Source organism: Homo sapiens, chromosome 3, assembly GCF_000001405.40.
Source record: "Homo sapiens chromosome 3, GRCh38.p14 Primary Assembly".
NCBI lineage: Eukaryota > Metazoa > Chordata > Mammalia > Primates > Hominidae > Homo > Homo sapiens.
In genome coordinates this window covers 58,781,505-58,801,740 of record NC_000003.12, presented here as the reverse complement: position 1 = coordinate 58,801,740, position 20,236 = coordinate 58,781,505, and the positions used below count along the sequence as shown (strand labels likewise).

Sequence of the window (20,236 nt, the reverse complement as noted above, 5' to 3'; positions counted from 1 at the left end):
CACTGACCTCAGTTCCCGCTGGCTCAGCTGGCCTGGCCAAGGCAATCTGGCCTGTCGTTGTAACCCGTGTGGCTCCTCCAGACTGACCACGGTGGTATCGTTTTGTTTTTTTTTTTCCTCTCCAGTTGTCACGATGCAACCTGATGGGCATCTCTTCTATTGATTAAGCTTTTTAGTTTCCCATCACAAAAGAGAGAAAATGTATAAATTAATAAAATTAAGTACAGAACTTTAATGTTCCTCTTCAAATGATTAAGTTTCGCTCATTTTAAAACAAGTAAGTTGAATTTTTAACAAATAGTCCTCCTTCAAACCAAGACATGACAGAGGATTTCCTTATTAACTAAGCAAACATTTTGTTTCTCAAAACATAGTGTTATTACTGTTTCCTGTTATCCAGATTTTTGCACTAAATCGTAATGATTTGATTATGAAACCAAAGGCATCAGTTGTTGTTTTTATCATTTCTCTTGTTGGCTTCAACTAGGAAAAGATTCATTACCTCTTCTTTCATAATCTCATTCCCACAGATTTCACACCTGCTCTTTTGAGGGCCCTGATGCTCCACATTTAGAACCCACGGGTCTGGCTGAAAGCTCATTTACTGATGACCTGTCTGGCTGTTCACCAAGTTCCTCTAAGGCAGGAACTTACTCTCTCTCACTTTCTCTCTCTCTCTCTCTCTCTCTCACTTACTCCCCACCCCCACCCCACCCCACCCCAGTGTTATTCAACACACGCCTGTCAAGGGCAGGAGTTTTTTCAGTATTTGAGTTGAGGGAGGGCATGAGCAAGTGAGTAGGTATACACCTGGACACCATGGAAAATGAAAATCTTCATCCTAAATGTTAACCAGTTAAACTTCAGATTTTTTTTCTTGTGTCTCTGCAAGAATTGCCCTTTCCTTTCCTGGAAATAGGAGGACAGTGATATTGTTTCATTCATAACCAGATAAAATTGTGTTTTGATGAGAGGCCCTGGTTTGGACAGAGTTTAAATCTGATTTTCATGCATGTACCACTCCCTGCTGATGCAAAGATCCATAGGCACTGGTAACATTTGGAATAGCCCTAGTCTTTAAGACATAATAATTAATAATAGTTTCTAATATTCCTATATTCCAACAACTCTCAAATTTATATCTCCAGTCCTGACCCTCCCTGAATTCCAAACTGATCTATGTAGCTGCCATCATGCCTAAAATCCAGCCATTGAAAAGGTAACTTGATTTTCTTCTGCAAATCTATTCTTTCTTCACTCTTCTCCATCTCAGAAAATGCCATCAATACCCCTCTCCACCTTTGCTTAAGCCAGAAACCAAGGGTGATCCCTGTTCTGTCTCTCTGATACACCTGAATGTCCAGACTCAGCAAGTGTTCCCTTCAAAGATAGTATATGCCAAATCCAGCCTCTTTTCTCTGTTTTCACTGCTATAGTCTGAGTGCAGGTTGCCATCACCTCTCACCTGGGCAAATACTGTAAACCTCCAAACCTGCCTTCTCTGCTTCTCTGGCCTCTGTAGTCTTTTCTCTGCTTAGCAACCAAGTGGTATACAGGCCTCAATCAGATGCAGGCATTGCCCCTTGTAAAACTTCCCAGTGGTTTCCCATTGCCCTTAGGACCAAATTACGCTTACCCTGGCTTTTGGGGCCCTGGAAGCCCACCTCTCAGATGGTGTTTCACACCACTGAGCACCTTGCTCGATCTCTACTGGTTCCTTCTCTTTCCCTCTGATACTCCAGGCTTGGTCCCCACTTAGGAGTGCTGCCTGGATGGAGTTCTCTTAACCAAGGTTGCTTCCCAGCTGCCTCTCCCTGTCAGTAGAGTCTCCACGTAAATAAACATCCTCTCCTCAGGAGGCCCTTTCTTAGTGTCCACCCTAAAATAGCCCTCAGTCACCTTTAGCACATTATCTTTTTTGTTTTCATCACATTATTCCACTAACTGATGTTTCCTTGTTTGTCTGTTTTCTACACACACACACACACACACACACACACACACACAGACACACACACAGACACACACACACTGCTCCTTCTCGAATGCTGGAATGTAAACTGCATGCATGTGAAAACCTTATCTCACTTGTTCAGTGTCTCCCTAGTTTCAAGGGATATACTTGCCAAGCACATAGGAGACACATAAAAAATAGGCACATAAGAGACACATAAAAAATAGGTGTTGAATTCAGTGAATCTCACCACTTAAAAATGAACTTCCCTCATCTCTCTACACTAGCTACGTCACTGTGTATTCCACTAGCTGGAGCCCATGAGCACCTGTATACTTCTCTACCTTAAGAGTCTCTAGTACCTGGCCCTGTTCCCATTTATAATAAACGAAACCTTTTTTGTGAGTTTGTTTTAAAGATCCCTTAAAAGATATCCAGAATATAAAGTATCTGATATCATTTTACACCTTTAAATAGAGACAGTTTTCTAAAATTGAATTAGTGTGTTCGCCCTGTATTCTTACTGGCAGTTGCTTATTTGTATGGGCCTATTCACACGTATTTTATGGAGTCAGAGTACCACTTGCTAGAAATCTGGTTGGGTTGCCACTGCTGCAGAAGGTGTACTCAGTTCTCACCAGGCTAATAGAATCTGGGTAAGCAAATAGAAAAAAAAAACCATTATTTATATGCATACACATACATATATACACATTATATATATACATACAAGCGTACCTCAGAGATATTGTAGGTTGAGTTTCAGACCACCACAGTAAAGCAAAAATCACAAGAATTTTCAGCTTCCCAGTGCATGTAAAAGTTATGTTACTATTCTTTAGTCTGTTAGGTGTACAATAGCATTATGCCTAAAAAGAACAATATACATGCCTTAATTTGAAAATACTTTATTGCTAAAAAACTGCTAACAATCACTGAGCCTTCAATAAGTCATAATCTTTTTGCTGGTGGAGGGTCTTGTCTGGATGTTGATGGCTGCTGAATGATCAGACTGGTTGTTGCTGAAGGTTGGGGTGGCTCTGGCAGTTTCTTAAAATAAGACAACAATGAAGTTTGCCACATCACTGGACTCTTCCTTTCGTGAAAGACTCCTCTGTGGCATGCAATGCTGTTTGATGGCATTTTACCCACAGTAGAACTTCTTTCAAAATTGGAGTTAATCTTGCCCAACCATGCTGCTGCTTTATCAACTCAGTGTATGTAATATTTCAAATACTTTGTTGTCATTACAACTAGTGTTTACATCATCTTCACCAGGAGTTGATTCATTTCAAGAAACCACTTTCTTTGCTTACCATAAGAAGCAGTTCCTCATCTATTCAGGTTTGATCATGAGATTACAGCAATTCAGCCACATCTTCGAGCTTTATTTCTAACTCTAGTTCTCTTGCTATTTCCACCACATCTGTAGTTCTGTCTGCCACTGAAAGTCATCCATGATGGTTGGAACTGATTTCTCCCAAACTTCTGGTCATGTTGATATTTTGACCTCCTCCCATGAATGCTGCATGTTTTTAGTGGCATCTGGAATGGTGAATTCTTTCCAGAAAGTTTTCAATTTACTTTGCCCAGATTTATCAGAGGAATCACTATCTATGGCAGCCATAGCCTTACAAAATGTATTTCTTAAGAAGACTTGAAAGCTTAAATTACTCCTTGATCCATGAGCTGCAGAATAGATGTCGTGTTAGCTGGCATGAAAACAATATTCATCTCCTTGTACATCTTCATTGGAGCTCATGGGTGACCAGGTGCATTGCCAATGACCAGTAATCTTTTGAAAGGAGTCTCTTTTTTTCTGAGCAGTAGATCTCAGTAGTAGGCTCAAGATATTCAGTATACTGTGCTATAAGCAGATGTGCCTTCATCCAGGCTTTGTTGGTCCTTTTATACAACACAGGCAGAGTAGGATTTATTAATAGCATCACTCTTAAGAACCCTAGGATTTCTGGAATAGTCAATGACCACTGGCTTCAACTTAAAGTCACCAGCTGCATTAGCCCCCAACAACAGAGTCATCCTGTGCTTTGAAGCTTTGAAGCCAGACATTGACTTCTCCTCTAGTAATGGAAGTCCTAGATGTCATCTTCTTCCAATAGAAGACTGTTTTGTCTACATTGAAAACCTATTATTTAATGTAGTCACCTTCATCAATGATTGTAGCTAGATCTCCTGGATAACTTGCTGCAGCTTCTACATCAGTACTTGTTGCTTCAGCTTGCATTTTTATGTTACCGAGATGGCTTCTTTCCTTAAACCCCAGGAATCAACCTCTGCTAACTCAAAACTTTTATTCTCCAGCTTCCTTACCTCTCTCAATCTTCAAAGAATTGAAGAGAGTTAGGGCCTTGTTCTGGATTAGGCTTTGGCTTAAGGGAATGTTGTGGCTGGTTTGATGTTCCATCCAGACCACTCAAACTTTCTCCATATCACCAATTAAAGCTGTTTCACTTTCTTACCATTTGTGTGTTCTCTGGAGTAAGTACTTCGAATTTCCTTCGAGAACTTTTCCTTTGCATTCCCATCTTAGCTTTTGGTGCAAGAGGCCTAGCTTTCAGCCTGTGTTGGCTTTAGGCATGCTTTCCTCACTAAGCTTAACCATTTCTAGCTTTTGATTGAAAGTGAGAGACACGTGACTCTTCCTTTCACGTGAACACTCAGGGTCCACTGTAGGGTTATTATCAATAATCGGCCTAATTTCAATATTGCTGTGCCTCAGGGAATAGGTAGGCCCAAGGAGGGAGAGAGAGATGGGATGAATGGTTGATCAAGTGGAATTAGTCAGAATACAAACCGCATTTACTAAATTTGCCATCTTATATGGGCATGGTTCCTGGTGTCCCAAAACAATTTGATAGTAACATCAAAGATCACTGTCACGTATCACCGTAACAGATAGAACAGTAATGAAAAAATTTGAAATATTTAGAGAATTACCAGAATGTGGCACAGAGACACAAAGTGAGCCCATGCTGTTGGATAAATGACACTGATAAACTCGCTCAACACAGGGTGCCATAAACCTTCAATTTGTGAGAATTCAGCATCTGTGAAGAACAATATAGCAAAACACAATAAAACAAGGCATGCCTGTGTGTGTGTATGTGTGTGTCTCAAGAGCTAGAGAGAGAGAACCTGAAGCTGTGGTGCTGGTGCACTGTCAAATTTAACTGACTCCCCACCCCTTCTGTTCCTGGAGAGGTCCTTAGTCAACTGCTCTACCTTTAAAATAAACGTTTAAAGCACTTGATACAAAAAGCCTCCAGCTGGGCCTCTTTCCTCCCCGATCCACAGCAGAGGCAAAGCCCCAGAATGACTTTTCTAACCTCTTGAACCCTGCCTGCCCCAGAGAAAGCCTCAGTTAAGGGCACCCCTAGTAGCAAACTGAATCCCTCGAGAATCATCCTGCTTTTCACCTCTGACCACTCTTAACCCTGGACCACACCTTGCACAACTCCAGGGGGCACTATTCCCATGGGTTCCAGGAGACCCAGCAATTCACCAGCAGTACAATGTGAGTGGACAGTGCTGGGCAGCTGGTGGTCCCCTGACCCATCACTCCTCCTCCCTCCTCTGCTCTTGGTACTTGTTGACCTGCCAAGCCCACTTTCAGTCCTGGTTTTGATTATTTCTTCTACCTAAGTGAGTTTGCTCAAATTGTATCCCTGGTCCAGTTACACTGACCCGGGCACCAACTAGCCATCACAACAGATGTCTTGGTCCCCACCCCTGCCCACCTGCCCAAGATTTATTTGTCTTCACTCTCTCCATGTTCGTGTCTGGACCCGCCTGCCTGAGCATCAGCTAACCCCACCCTCCAGTTTCCTTAGTTGAGACACCTGCCTCCTCTCTGACCAGGTCTCTTTTGGGCCACTGGGACTTCCACCTGAGTTTCCTAGTTTTCCCTTTGTACTCTGTGAGAGTCTAAAGGCATTAAGACTGGGAAATACTAATTAATTTTCAGTTATTGTCATGTTTTCGAAAATTATAAACTTATGAAACCCATTCCCCTAGGAGTTTCAGAACAATAGATCACATCTTCTCCCCTCACCTCCCAAAGGCTTCTGTGTCTGAAAAGACAGATACCTGAAGAATCTTGGCTTTCGCTATTACTTTTGCTTTTTCTATGTTTTCCTTTTTGAAGACAGGATCTCAGTCTGTCACCCAGGCTGAAGTGCAGTGGCACAATCATGGCTCATTGCAGCCTCGGCCTCCCGGGCTCAGGTAACTCTCCCACTCCAGCTTCCCATGTAGCCGAGACCACAGGCACAAGCCAAGCTGATTTTTTTGTAGAAATGGGGTCTTGCCCTGTTGCCCAAGCTGGTCTCGTACTCCTGGGCTCAAGCAACCGTCCCTCCACCTTGGCCTCCCAAAGGGCTGGGTTACAGGCGTGAGCCACGGCACCTGGCAGAATCTTGACATCTTTAACCAGTGGAGAGCGGGGCTCCTGAGATTACTGAAGCCTCCCCAGCAATTGTTATCCATCCAGATGCTGAACTCAGATTACCTTTGGCCCACAATCCAGTTAAAGAAGGTAATTACCAAAGCAATTATTTACCATTCTAATGTTTTATAGTTTCAGCTTTTAATTAAAAGATTCAGCTTCCCCCTCAAGAGTAATGAGAACCTTTAAAAAAATAGAAGTACTAATTCTAGTTTATAACAATCACCTCCATTCTGTCTGGAGGTGGGGAGGGAATGCAAGTTGAGGTTTAGGAGAATAACATTAACCTAAAAAATGGAAGACCGTAATTATTGTTAAATGGCTACAGCCAGTCACATCCGTAGACTCATGATCTCATTATTCATTTTGTAATCTAATACAGGATAGCTTCCCTGTCATTTAAACAGGGAACCCCTACAGCATAAAATGATTCACAGAGTATTGTAGCTCATACTTTCAGCAACGCTCGATGAGTATTTTTGAAGTACCTACTATGTGACTTTAATGAGCTTGTGGCCTTCCAGCAGAACCAGGTCCACACTGCATGTCATTAGGCAGTGTGTGGGCATCTTCAGAACAGTGCCAAAGAGAGTTGGAGCATCTACTGAGCCTGGCTCAGGAGAAATCACTGCTTTTCCAGAAATGTGTCCACTCACAGACTCTGCTTTTGTTGCCAGTTGGTTACTTCTTCCCTGTAATTTTTTTGTTTCTGTTGTTAATGAAAAACATTACATTTTGAAATTGATTAAAGTTAAAACACATAATTTTTCACTCTAGCAATGCATTGTTTACCAGCATTCACAGCTTCATATTATGCTGTTCATTACCATATAAAAACCCGCTCAGTATAATAAATACCATAGAAGTCAACAGTCCAGGCTGTTTAAGATGACTTGAAGGCAAAAAGGCAAACATCTTTTAGTGTATTTGACTGAATTAACACTATCATTATTGTTCTGTTGACTCTTTCTTGTCCATTGATTTTTAAAAGCCTTTAGGTCCTTTGCCATCCATTAAGACAAATCAGATGCAATTTGGTGCTCAGGACAAGAAAATGCTGTTGGATGTTTGGTGTAGGCATGGGAAAAAAAAACTATATTCTGAAACAAGACTGGTTAGAAGGCAGCTTCCCACATTTTGAGGTAAACAACTTATTTGCTTTTGACTTTTGAGGCTAACAACAGTAGTGACCTTTGAATTACTGTGTGGACACTGGCTCAGTAACAAGCGAGACCAAATGGCGATTTGTAGATAATGTACTTTGTTATCGCTTATTTATGATGAAAGTAAGTGAGTTAGAATTGTACATACTCTCATATTTTTCAGTCTTTGATTCTCTTTATTTGCAGAACTAATAAACTAAAAAGCAACTGTAATCTGTTGCAAGAAAAGAAGAGTAAAATATTTTCTGTTGAATTAGTAGTGAACAATTTTAAAGCAGTGGAACCATTTGTATTATCAAAATAGCAGTGAACAAGAAACCTGAGATCTGGCCTGGTCTGATCTCAATACTACGATAAAATGAAAGTCTCAGCTTAAGTAAAATCACAGTATTGCTTTCAATTAAACAGTGACATTTATGGTAATGAAACTACATTTTTTGTTGAGGGGCAGCTCATCTCTAAACTACCAAAAGAATATCTTTTCCTTGACACCTTAGTAAGGGTTGAGGGTAGGGGGTGAGAATCTATACATTGGCCACTAACATTGAAAGAAAATTACATTATGATCAGTGTTTTAACTTGGTGAAGGATGCACTTTGTTTTTTTTGCCATCTGCCCTCTTCCAACCTTTTCAACAACACTCCTATTGAAACCTGAAACTGCCTTCATTTTGGAAATACTACTAATTCACATTAAAAGTCCAGAAAAATTTTAGTTTCTTTTGCTGGAATAACAGAAGAAATGGAAGCAAACAAAAACAACCAGCCATGTGACATTCTCTAAATTTGCTTGTGAATTTCTAAATTTCAGTGCTAGCAAAAAAGAAAGTTGCAGCAAGGCATACAGTAAATGAAGATATTATGTATTAGGAAAGGAATGAATCTGTCACTTTGACGGATTGTGAGGCGAAGAGTAGATTAACAGATTACTCATAGTCAGAAGGCAGCTTGGTGTGAAAAATGTGTAGGAAATGATAAGTGCAGGTTTGTGCTGATTTAATGATATTTTTAAACTACAATAACACTCTGGTAGTATAATATAATAAAGCACTTGGCTTACATTTTTGTAAATCATCAACATATTTCCAGTTTGACCTTAAAAACATTTTGGGCCATTCTCTATTAAAATATGTAGCTTTCAAATTAGAAAAAGGTACCATCTATTATAAAATACCACAGCAGTGCCCTTACAGGAAACATCATTGGCTTTTAAAATCAGTTCTTCTCTAAACTAGCATTTGTAATATACATTTTAATTACATTTTTAGCATACCAACACCACATGTACTTTTTCTTCAAGCATTTAAATCACTTACAACAAGAATTTATCTTCTAACAGCCATTTCCAGTGAAATGCTTCAAAGATGCCACTGATTTGTCTTTATATTTTCATTGTCAGTTTTTAGTTTTGTAGTTGAACTCATGGAGTATTTATAAATAAAACAACTATATTTTGTCACAGATACTAGATAAAAGTAGTTCAAATTTCAATTGAGTACTCTGAGAGTCTCTGCAAGAAATAAGATGAATTACTTATTTTATTTTGTATTATTACAAATATTTATCAGAAAGTAAAAGTTTTTAAGAGGTTTATATTTTTATATAAGTAAAATAGAGATTTTAATAGCACACTTGTAGTTAATTTGACAGTGATGGACTTGCCTTGCCAAGGATTTTCAGAATAAAATTCCTATGAAGCATTGAAATAGTTTTTATTCTAATATCTTAATATTCAAAACCTAATGTAAGGCTTGGGTTGTTTAGTATTCTCTTCTCCCAATTCACCAATAATGGCTTTACTTAAGTAGGTACAATGAAACTCGGAGTAAAATACTGCATTTACCATCTAAACATTTGTATCTAGCCCAAACGCAAATAAATATACTACTTTGGCATGTCCAGGGCTTGAATCCCAGACATGATTATGATTCAAGTTATATTTTACATATACAGTGAAGAACTTTACCAGAATTCAGCATGTTTTCTAGATTTCCTCTCTTCTAACGTTCTCTCAACTTGGGGTAAATAAACAATGAGAATAGTCTATATTCTTGGTAGAAATTCTGAAATATATGTAGCAAAAGTTGTTTGCATGTTTTCTGACATCCTTGAAGATTTATTGTCTATAGTAGTTACTGACACTGTTCCCCAAATATTCCCAGCTCTCCAGATTCCAAGTACATGGTTGTATTGCACTTCTAGGTTTCCTTGTTTGGGGGTGGAGCCAACTAACCCAACTAATTCTAGCCAACTAATTAGGAGCATAAGGGCCTACGTTATTTCTTGGCAAGAACATTTACATTGTAGGTGTGAAACCTTCCAGATTATCTTTTCCTCTGACACTGTGACCAGAAACATTCAAGATGATGGTGGTTCAGTCAACCCAGTCACTTAATGACTGTGACAAACAGAGTCCCTATAATGATCTGTTATAAAAACTTAACATGAGCAAGAAATTAACATTTGTTGTTTTTAAGTCACTGAGATTTGAGGGTTTTTTGTTATCAAGCATAACATACCCTTATTCTGACTGACACAGTTGCTAACTGTGACATTGAATATACATTGTCATTGGAAATACAGCATTTCATATATTTTCATATTTGAATGTTAAAAATTGGTTAAACTATTCACTCAGTATGAGATTAATTGGCATATAGTAGAATAAGGGGTTTCATGAGGTGGTATAATGCACTAGTTTAAAAAACTGTCTCTAGAATCAAAAGGTTGGGTTTATATCCTTATGACATTAGTTAACCTCTCCAAGCCCCAATTAAGTTATCTAAAAATAGGAATTGTATTTTACTACCCACCATAAAGTGTTATTGCAAAGATTAAATGAAATAATACTCATAACATGTTTTGCATAGGGCCTGGCATATATATTTTTATTAAATGGTAGAAAGTGATGATAGTATTGGTAGGGATATTAATAGTAATATTAGGAATAATTTTTCAAAAAAAATCATACTTTAACAGAATCAGAGAATCTTAAAGGGTTTGATGAGATCAGGGAGATGATTTAACCCAGCATCTCTTCAAACTTTACACATCTCTGCCAGGGAAGCAGGCTCAGTGCAGCAGAAGACAGCCCATTCCATTATTGGGCAACTCCAACCATGGGAAATCTTCCTTATACTGAGCTGATGTAGGCTTCTCTATAGCTTCTTCCCATTGATCCTAGTTCTGTTTCCAGAACAATAAGTAGAACCATCACTTTTCATAAAATACCTCTTGAATTTTTTAATATCACTTCTGGGTTGCTCTGTTTTCTCCTCTAGTCTCACATTTTCTCACTCCAGTCCCAACTCCATTTTGCCATTCCTGGTCCTGGCATAGTCCTAATCACCGTCCTTTGGATACCTTTTAATTTATCAAATTGGAATTCTCTAAAATGAACACAATAATCTAGATGTAATCCAAAGAGTTCAGACTACAGTTACACCATTGACTAGTATAGTACATTGCTTAAATCACATTCATAGTTTTAGTTCCCATATCCCACTAATGTCTTACATTTGGCTTTTGGTCACCTAAAAAATCACCATCTTTCTCCTGGACTATTGCTATAGCCTTCTAAGTAGCCTCCATGGATCCACATGTCCTTTTCACCACTACTCCTCTCCTTCTCTGCTGCTCTTCTGCTCTTCTGTTCATCTGCTCATGGAACCTGGGGTTTGAGGTTTATATGGGTACATGATAGGGGACATGGCAGGCCAAATGGCAACTTTTGGGCGAGAAAACAGGAATGCCTGTTCCCATTTAGGGCCACAGGTTTCCAGGCTTGAGAGTGGGGCCTTTGCCAGGGAACCACCCTCTTCTACCCATTATTTCCCTGTCTCCGGTCCATATCAAAGATATACAACTGAGAATAAATACATATTGTATGATTCCATTCATATGGAATTCAAAAACAGACAAACTGAGCCATGGGTATTAGAAGTCACCAGGCTCACTTGTAGGGAGAAGAGAGTGTAATAATTAGAAGAAGGAGGAAGGGACGCTTTTACCTCTTGACCCAGGTGGGGATTATGGCTCACTGTGGGATCATTCATTGAGCCATACAGCTATGATTTGTGCATTTTTCTCTGTTTACATTACACATCAATATTAATAAGAATAATTAGTATAATTGTTAATAAGGATAATTGGTATAATTCTTAGTCTAAAATAGTTTGCTTTTTCTAATATTTTAACATTTCTGTATCTTTCTACCTTTTTTATAATTTATGTAAGCTTTCTGTAGAATGAGACTATATTTAAGTGGAATAGCAGCTCAGTAACACCATGAATAATTATGATGATGGTAGCCTGGTGATTTGAGTAAATTATTTCCTTCCTGGGAAGCCTAATTTACTCACAATAATGGTCCAATCAACAAAAGAGTTTTTATTATTTCCTCCCAATGTTTTTAAAATAGCATTTTACCATCATCTGTTCAAAAATCCATTTATCACCCATATCAGTGTTTAATCACAATATTTTTCATTAACTGAAGTGTTACAATTAACACACCCTGAAAATGCTGGGAAATAAATCTAGTCAACTAAAGATCCTGTCAACTTGCTCCAGTTCCTTATTTTCTCATGCAACCAGCCAACACTGGGGGAAATTGAATTGTCATTCACCTCACAGAGCCTTTTTAGCATATCATTGTTTTATTTGACTTCTGAACAGAAAGGTATAACCAAACTTTGAAAAGAAAATGGAAATCAGTACATAAATAAGGTATCTGATAATCTGACACAATAATGAAAATGATACCCTGTAGTTATTCTTTACAAAAGCCCAGAGAGCTAAATTAAAGCACTAAATTAAATCCCACCTACTCTTTCTGCACCATTAAGTCCCATCATTCCACAGAAAGATTTGGATGGTTTTATTTTGTATTCTAATTTTAAGGCAATTATTCTCTCGTTAAAGTTAGAAAAGGCTGCAAAGTTTTTTGCTCTTGATTTGCTAATGACTTAGTTACAAAGCATTTAACCTACAGTTGCCTTATAACTCTCTAAAAGGTGTTATATAAAGTTGCTTGGGATTGAACTTTTTTCTGTAATTTTAAACAATAATAACTACTAATGCTATTACTGTGTGGTGAGTTTTATACTGTGTGCCACTGTGTGGAATTGATACATTTTATGTTACAGTTGACCCTTGAACAACATGGGTTTGAACTATATGGGTTCCCTTACAAATTATGACACAGATTTTTTCCAACCCATTTTTCATATATGTGGGTTCTGCATGGCCAACTTGAGGATTTTGGTATATGTGGGGAGGGGGAACTGAAACCTAATCCCCACTCCTACTGAGGGATGACTAGTTTATTTAATCCCTGCTACAACCCAGTAGGGTCAGTTCTCTTATTCCCATATTCCAGATGTGGAAACAAGAGACACAGAGTTTGGCTCAAAGGTCACAAGGCTAAAAGGAAGTTTAAGCTGAGATTAAAAACTGTGCAATTTATATACTAGATTAGTGCCCTAAATGTGTGTCTAATATACAGTTCCACATTGGATTGTCAAAGTGTTTTCCACTGTGGTGGTGGTAGTCATTGCTGTTGCTACAATCCCAGCCTAGCCATGTGTTCATCCAGACATGCAGCACGGGAATATGTTAGCATCCCATTTTGTGACCAGCCACGTCTTGCTGAGATTTAGGAAAGTCGTGCTAGAAGTTGAGGTGATAAACTAAAGGTAAGAAATTTTTCTCGTTGATTCCCCATTTGCTCCCCATTACTTCTCATACAGCGCTGTCCACATTAGAAGCTCAAAAATGTCTGTGGATTCTCACCAATAGGATTTCCCCGGTAACCGTGGTTTAAATGTGAATTTAATTTGTTCATCTGAGGGGCCCATTATATTAGAAACATCCATCTCCAATAGACGGCCCCAAATCAACCATGCTGTGGTTCCCTTTCTCACTGCGTGCTCAGAATCTGTCTGTATGCAGTGAGTTGGAGTTTTGTTTTGTTTTGCTTTGTTTTTTAGTGTTTTCTTCCTCTTTTTTTTTTTTAAATTGTACTTTAAGTTCTGGGACAAATGTGCAGAACATGCAGGTTTGTTATATATGTATAGGTATACACATGCCATGGTGGTTTGCTGCACCTATCAACCCATCATCTACATTAGGTGTTTCTCCTAATGCTATCCCTCCCCTAGCACCCCACCCCCCAACAGGCCCCAGTGTGTGATGTTCCCCTCCCTGTGTCTGTGTGTTCTCATTGTTCAACTCCCACTTATGAGTGAGAACATGCAGTGTTTGGTTTCCTGTTTGTGTGTTAATTTGCTGAGAATGATGGTGTCCGGCTTCATCCATGTCCCTGCAAAGGACATGAACTCATCCGTTTTTATGGCTGCATAGTATTTCATGGTGTATACATGCCACATTTTCTTAATCCATTCTATCATTGATGGGCATTTGAGTTGGTTCCAAGTCTTTGCTATTGTAAATAGTGCTGCAATAAACATGCATGTGCATCTTTATAGTAGAATGATTTATAATCCTTTGGGTATATACTCGGTAATGGGATTGCTGGGTCAAATGGTATTTCTGGTTCTAGATCCTTGAGGAATCGCCACACTGTCCTCCACCATGGTTGAACTAATTAACACAATGAATTGGAGTTTTTTGTTTGTTTGTTTGTTGGTTTTTTAATTTATTCTTTTTTATTATACTTTAAGTTTTAGGGTACATGTGCACATTGTGCAGGTTAGTTACATACGTATACATGTGCCATGCTGGTGTGCTGCACCCACTAACTCGTCATCTAGCATTAGGTATATCTCCCAATGCTATCCCTCCCCCCTCCCCCCACCCCACAACAGTCCCCAGAGTGTGATGTTCCCCTTCCTGTGTCCATGTGATCTCATTGTTCAATTCCCACCTATGAGTGAGAATATGCAGTGTTTGGTTTTTTGTTCTTGCGATAGTTTACTGAGAATGATGAATTGGAGTTTTTATGAAATCTTGTATCAGCGTTACTCTGTGCTAGAGCTGTTAATAAGAAATACTCATCAAATCTTTTTATTTTTAAAATTACTTTTATATAAAATTACTTTTATATTTTTATAGCACTGTTTTCTATCTGAAATAATATTCTTTCTTTGTATATTTACAGTAATGCCCCCCCTTATCTACAGGGGGTACATTCCAAGACTCCAGTGGATGTCTAAAACGACAGATAGTGCCAAACCCTATATATGCTATATTTTTTTCTATATATGCATACCTATGATAAAGTTAATTTATAAATTGACACAGTAAGATATTAACAAGAATAATAATAAAATAGAACAATTATAGTAATATACTGTTCATAACTTCACAGATTTATTCTTACCATAGATCTTAGCAACCTCAGTATATGATTTTTTTCTTTCCTTATTAAGTCGGGAACTTTTGCGGTTTTTACTTAAAGGAAACACTTTGAAGCTTCTCTTTGGCATATCTTAATTGCCAACATCACTATTCTTGCTCTTTGGGGCCATTATTTAGTAAAATAAGAGTTACTTGAACACAAGCACTGTGATACTATCACGGACGATCTGATAATGGAGACGGCTACTAAGAAACTAATGGGTGTGGATACACCAGAAAAGGGATTCAGGTCTGGGACAAGACAGACAGGGACAGCACAAGATTTCACAAATTCAGAACAGTACTTGATTTAAAATTTATGAATTGTTTATTGCTGAAATTTTCCATTTAATATTTTTGGACCATGATTGACCTCAGGTAGCTAAAACCACAGAAAATAAAACCAAGGACAAGGAGGGACTACTGTATTTACTGTCTGCCTCCATCTCTGGATTGTAAGCTCCATGGGAGCAGAGACTCTGTGTTTTTGATACCACTCTTGTGAATACCTAGAACACAAATATAAAGTGGGATAGAGCAGGCATTCAAGTAATTTTCTTAATGTTTTCAAAGATATCACCACGGAGGAAATATAATTTTCTACAACCTCCATGAGTTGTTAGTTGGGATGGACCCTGTAATAAAAGAAGGATTAGCAAGAGAAAAACGAGTTTATTAACATTTGCAGCACACATCCTGTGGGAGAAACCTCAATGAAAAGTAACTCAAAGCAGTGGCTTAGAACTCTGGCTTACGTAACATCTTTCACAAAGAACAGTACATTTGTGGAGAAACAACAGGACAAATGTAAGCAGTTTTTGGCTTTCAAGGGCCAGAAACTGTGAGAAGGTAAATATATGGGAGGAAACCAATGGAGTGAGGTTTCCTTGCAGATTCCTCTGTGGCCATCTCTGAGCTCCTAAAAGTCTAGAGTTGTCTCCAGTAAAGGAGACTTGATATCCTGTCTTTAGGCAGATAAGAGGGAAAGTAGAGAGAGTTTTTCCTGTGTTTGCTTCTTCTTAATTGCCTTTGGCTCGAAAACAATTTTTAGGTCACGGAAGCATATTTTGGGGGACATATTTTGGTTTCCTTCCATATGAAGCAAACCCGTTATGGGAGGGAGGCAGTTACTTCCCCTACATCTTCAATGATGCTGTGTTTATCAGAGATGAGGTCTTCATTCTATGTGTATCCTTCTGGTGGGTAAAAAGATAGTTTTTTTTCTGTTTTAAACCGATACATAATATTTTACATTTATGGAGTACATATGATCTTTTGTTACATGTATGGAATGTGTGATGACCAAGACAGAATATTTGGGGTATCCATCTTGAATATTTATCATTTCTGTGTGTTGGTATCATTTCAAGTCCTCCCTTCTAGCTACTTTGACATATACATTTTTGCTAAATATAGTTACCTTACTCTGCTATCAAACTTTGGAATTTATACCTTCTATCTAATTGTATGTTTATACCCATTAACAAACCTGTCTTCATCCCCGCTCCTACCCACACAGCCTTCCCAGCCTCCGGTATCTATCATTCTACTCTCTACCTCCATGAGATCCACTTTTTGAACTCTCACATATGAGTGAGAACATGAGGTATTTGTCTTTCTGTGCTTGGTTTATTTCACTTAACATAACGACCTCTGGTCCCACCCATGTTGCTGCAAAGACAATAATAGTATTCAGCCATAAAAGAGAACAATAGTATATTGTGTATGTATACCATATTTTCTTTATCCATTCATTCGTTGATGGACACTTAGGTTGATTCCTTATCTTTGCTATTGTGAATAGTGCCGCAATAAACAGGTAAGTGCAGGTATCCCTTTGATATACTGATTTCTTTTCCTTTGGATAAATACCCAGTCGTGGGATTGCTGGATCGAATGGTAGTTCTGTTTTTAGCTTTTTGAGAAATCTCTCATACTGTTTTCCATAGTGGCTGTACTAATTTACATTACTACCAACAGTTTATAAGACTTCCCTTTTCAGAAAGCTTATATACTTTTGGTGGGAATATAAGTTAGTTCAGCGACTGTGGAAAGCAGTTTGGACATTTCTCAAGAACTTCAAACAGAACTACCATTTGACCCAGCAGTCTCATTACTGGGTATATATCCAAAAGCAAACAAACCATTCTTCCAAAAAGACACATGCGCTGTCATGTTCATCACAGCACTATTCACAATAGCAAATACATGTAGTCAACCTAGGTGTCCATGAACAGTGGACTGAATAAAGAATATTATCTCATTCCTACCTATGGCTTTTATTTTAGATTCAGAGGATACATGTGCAGATTTGTTACGTGGGTATATTGCATGATGCTGAGGTTTGGGGTATGAATGATCCCATTACGCAGGTACTGAGCATAGAACTCAATAGTTTTTTTAACCCTTGCCTCCCTCCCTTCCTTCTACCTATAGTAGTCCCCAGTTTCTATTGTTGCTATAGTCTTTCATGATGTATATGTATCATGGAATATTTGGTACATATACATGATGGAGTACTGTGCAGCCATAAAAAAGAATGAAATCATGTCCTTTTTAGCAACATGGGTGCAGCTGGAGGTCATTATCCTAAGCAAATTAACCCAGGAATAGAAAACCAATACCATATGTTCTCACTCATAAGTGGGCACTAAACACTGGATACCCATGGACATAAAAATGGCAACAAGATCACACTGCTGCCGCACTTCAGCCTGGGCAACAGAGTAAGGCGCTGTCTTAAAAAAAAAAAATGGCAACAATAGAAACAATAGGTACCCCTAGTGGTGGAAGGGAGGGAAGGAGGCAAGGGTTTAAAGAACTATTGTGTACCATGCTCAGTACCTGCATAATGGGATCATTCATACCCCAAACCTCAGCATCACACAATATACCCACATAACAAATCTGCACATGTATCCCCTGAATCTAAAATAAAAGTTGAAAAAATAAGGAATACCCTTTCTCCACATCCTTGCCATCATGTTTTTTGTTTTTGGGGTTTTGTTTTGTTTTGTTTTTTTAGTAATAGCCATTCTGACTGGGGTCAGACGATATCTCATTGTGGTTTTGATTTACATTTCCCTGACGATTACTGATGTTCAGTACTTTTTCATATATCTGTTGGCCGTTTGTATGTCTTCTTTTGAAAAATATGTATTCGTGGTTTTTGCACATGTTTTAATGGGATAATTTGGTTTCTTCTTGCTGAGTTCTTTGTATATTCTGGATATTCTCTTGTCAAATGAGTAGTTTGCAAATATTTTTATTTTCTTTCATTCAACAGGTTGTCTCTTCACTCTTGTTTTTTGTTTGGTTGGTTGGTTTTTGTTCTTCTGTTTTGCTGTGCAGAAGCTTTTTTATTTAATATAGTCCTATTTATCTATTTTTGGTTTTGTTTGTGCTTTTGAGGACTTGGCCATAACATTTTTGCCTATACCAGTGTCTTGAGGTGTTTTTCCTGTTTTTTTCTACCAGTTTTATGTTTTCAGGTCTTAGATTTAAGTCTTGAATCCATCTTGAGTTGATTTTTGTATATGATGAGAAGTAGGCATCTAGTTTTATTCTTCTGCATATGGATATCCAATTTTCCCAGCACCATTTATTGAAGGGGTTATCCTTTCCTGAATGTATGTTCTTGGCATCTTTGTTGGAAATCAGTTGACTATTAAATATATGGATTTATTTCTGGATTCCCTATTCTGTTCCATTGGTCTATATGTCTCTTTTTATACCAATACCATGCTGTTTGGTTACTATAGCCTTGTAATATATTTTGAAGTCAGGTAATATGATGCCTCACAGCTTTGTTTTTGTTTTGTTTTGTTTTGTTTTTTGCTCAAAATTTCTTTTGCTATTCAGGTTCTTACGTGGCTGAATACAAACTTTAGGATTTTTTTCTTTTTGTGAAAAATGACATTGGCATTTTGATAGAGATTGCATTGAATCTGTAGATTGCTTTTGGCATTACAGTCATTTTAATAATATTAATTCTTCCAATCCATGATCATGGGCTGTCTTTCCATTTGTTTATATCCTTTTCAATTTCTTTCATCAGTGTTTTGTAGTTTTCCTTATGGAAATTCTTCACATCCTTGGTTAAATTTATTCCCAGATATTTTTGTAGCTCTTGTAAATGGAATTGCTTTCTTATTTCTTAGCTAGTTCATTATTGGTGTATAGAAATGATACTAATATTTGTATGTTGACTTTGTATCCTTCAACTTTACTGAATTTATCAAATCTTAGAGTTTTTCTGGAGTCTTTAGGTTTTTCTAGAGTTAAGATTATATCATTAGCAAACAGGAACAATTTGACTTATACTTTTCCAATTTAGATGCCTTTATTTTTTCCTTTTGCCTGATTACTCTGGCTAGGACTTCCAGTATTACGTTGAACAGGAGTGGTAAAAGTGGGCATCCTTGTCTTGTTCTAGTTCTTAGGGGAAAGGCTTCCAGCTTTTCCCTATTCAGTATGATGTTAGCTCTGGGTGTGTCATATATGGCCTTTATTATTTTGAAGTATATTATTTCTATGCCTAGTTTGTTGTTTTTATCATGAAGGGATGTTGAATTTTGTCAAATGCTACTTCTGCATCTATTGAGTTGATTATAAACCTTCATTCTTCATAGATCATTTCTTCATTCTGTTAATGCGATGTATCACATTTACTGATTTGCATAGGTTGATCCTTGCATCCCTAGGATAAATCCCGCTTGATCTTTGTATATTAATTTTTTTAATATAATGTTGGATTCAGTTTGCCAGTATTGAGTTGAGAATTTTTGCATCTATATTCATCACGGATATTGGCCTCTAGTTTTCTTATCTTTGTTGTGTCATTGTCTGATTTTGGTATGGTGATGCTGGTCTCATAGAATGAGTCAGGGAGAATTCTCTCCTTTTCCAATTTTTGGGATAGTTCAAGAAGAATTCATGTTCTTTGAAAGCTTGGTGGAATTTGGCAGTGAAGCCATCTGGTACTGGACTTTTCTTCATTGGTAGACTTTTTATTACTGATTCAGTCTCATAACTTGTTATTGTTCTGTTCAGGTTTCTGTTTCTTCTTGATTTAATCTTGATAGTTTGTATGTGTTTAGGAATTTATCCATTTCTTCTAGGTTTTCTAGTTTGTTATTGTATAGTTGTTCATAATAGTCTCTAATGATCTTTTGTATTTCCATGGTAACAATTGTAATATCTTCGGTTTCATTTCTGATTTTATTTGGGTATTCTCTTTTTATGGCTAGTCTAGCAAGTGGTTTATCAATTTTATCTTTCAAAAAGCCAACTTTTT

At 37.8% G+C, this 20,236-nt stretch overlaps 1 protein-coding gene across 25 annotated transcripts in view; it reads left to right on the top strand.

The window, feature by feature from the left end:
- CFAP20DC (CFAP20 domain containing) overlaps window positions 1-20,236 on the top strand; it is a 333,853-nt gene that overhangs the window by 248,285 nt on the left and 65,332 nt on the right. For 2 of the 25 annotated variants that reach the window (XR_940389.3, XR_940388.3), the window contains one exon: window positions 7,411-7,561. The exons of the other annotated variants lie outside the window; for them this stretch is intronic. The gene's annotated coding sequence lies outside the window, so the exon portion shown is untranslated. The remainder of the gene's footprint in view (window positions 1-7,410; window positions 7,562-20,236) is intronic. 25 annotated transcript variants of the gene reach the window in all.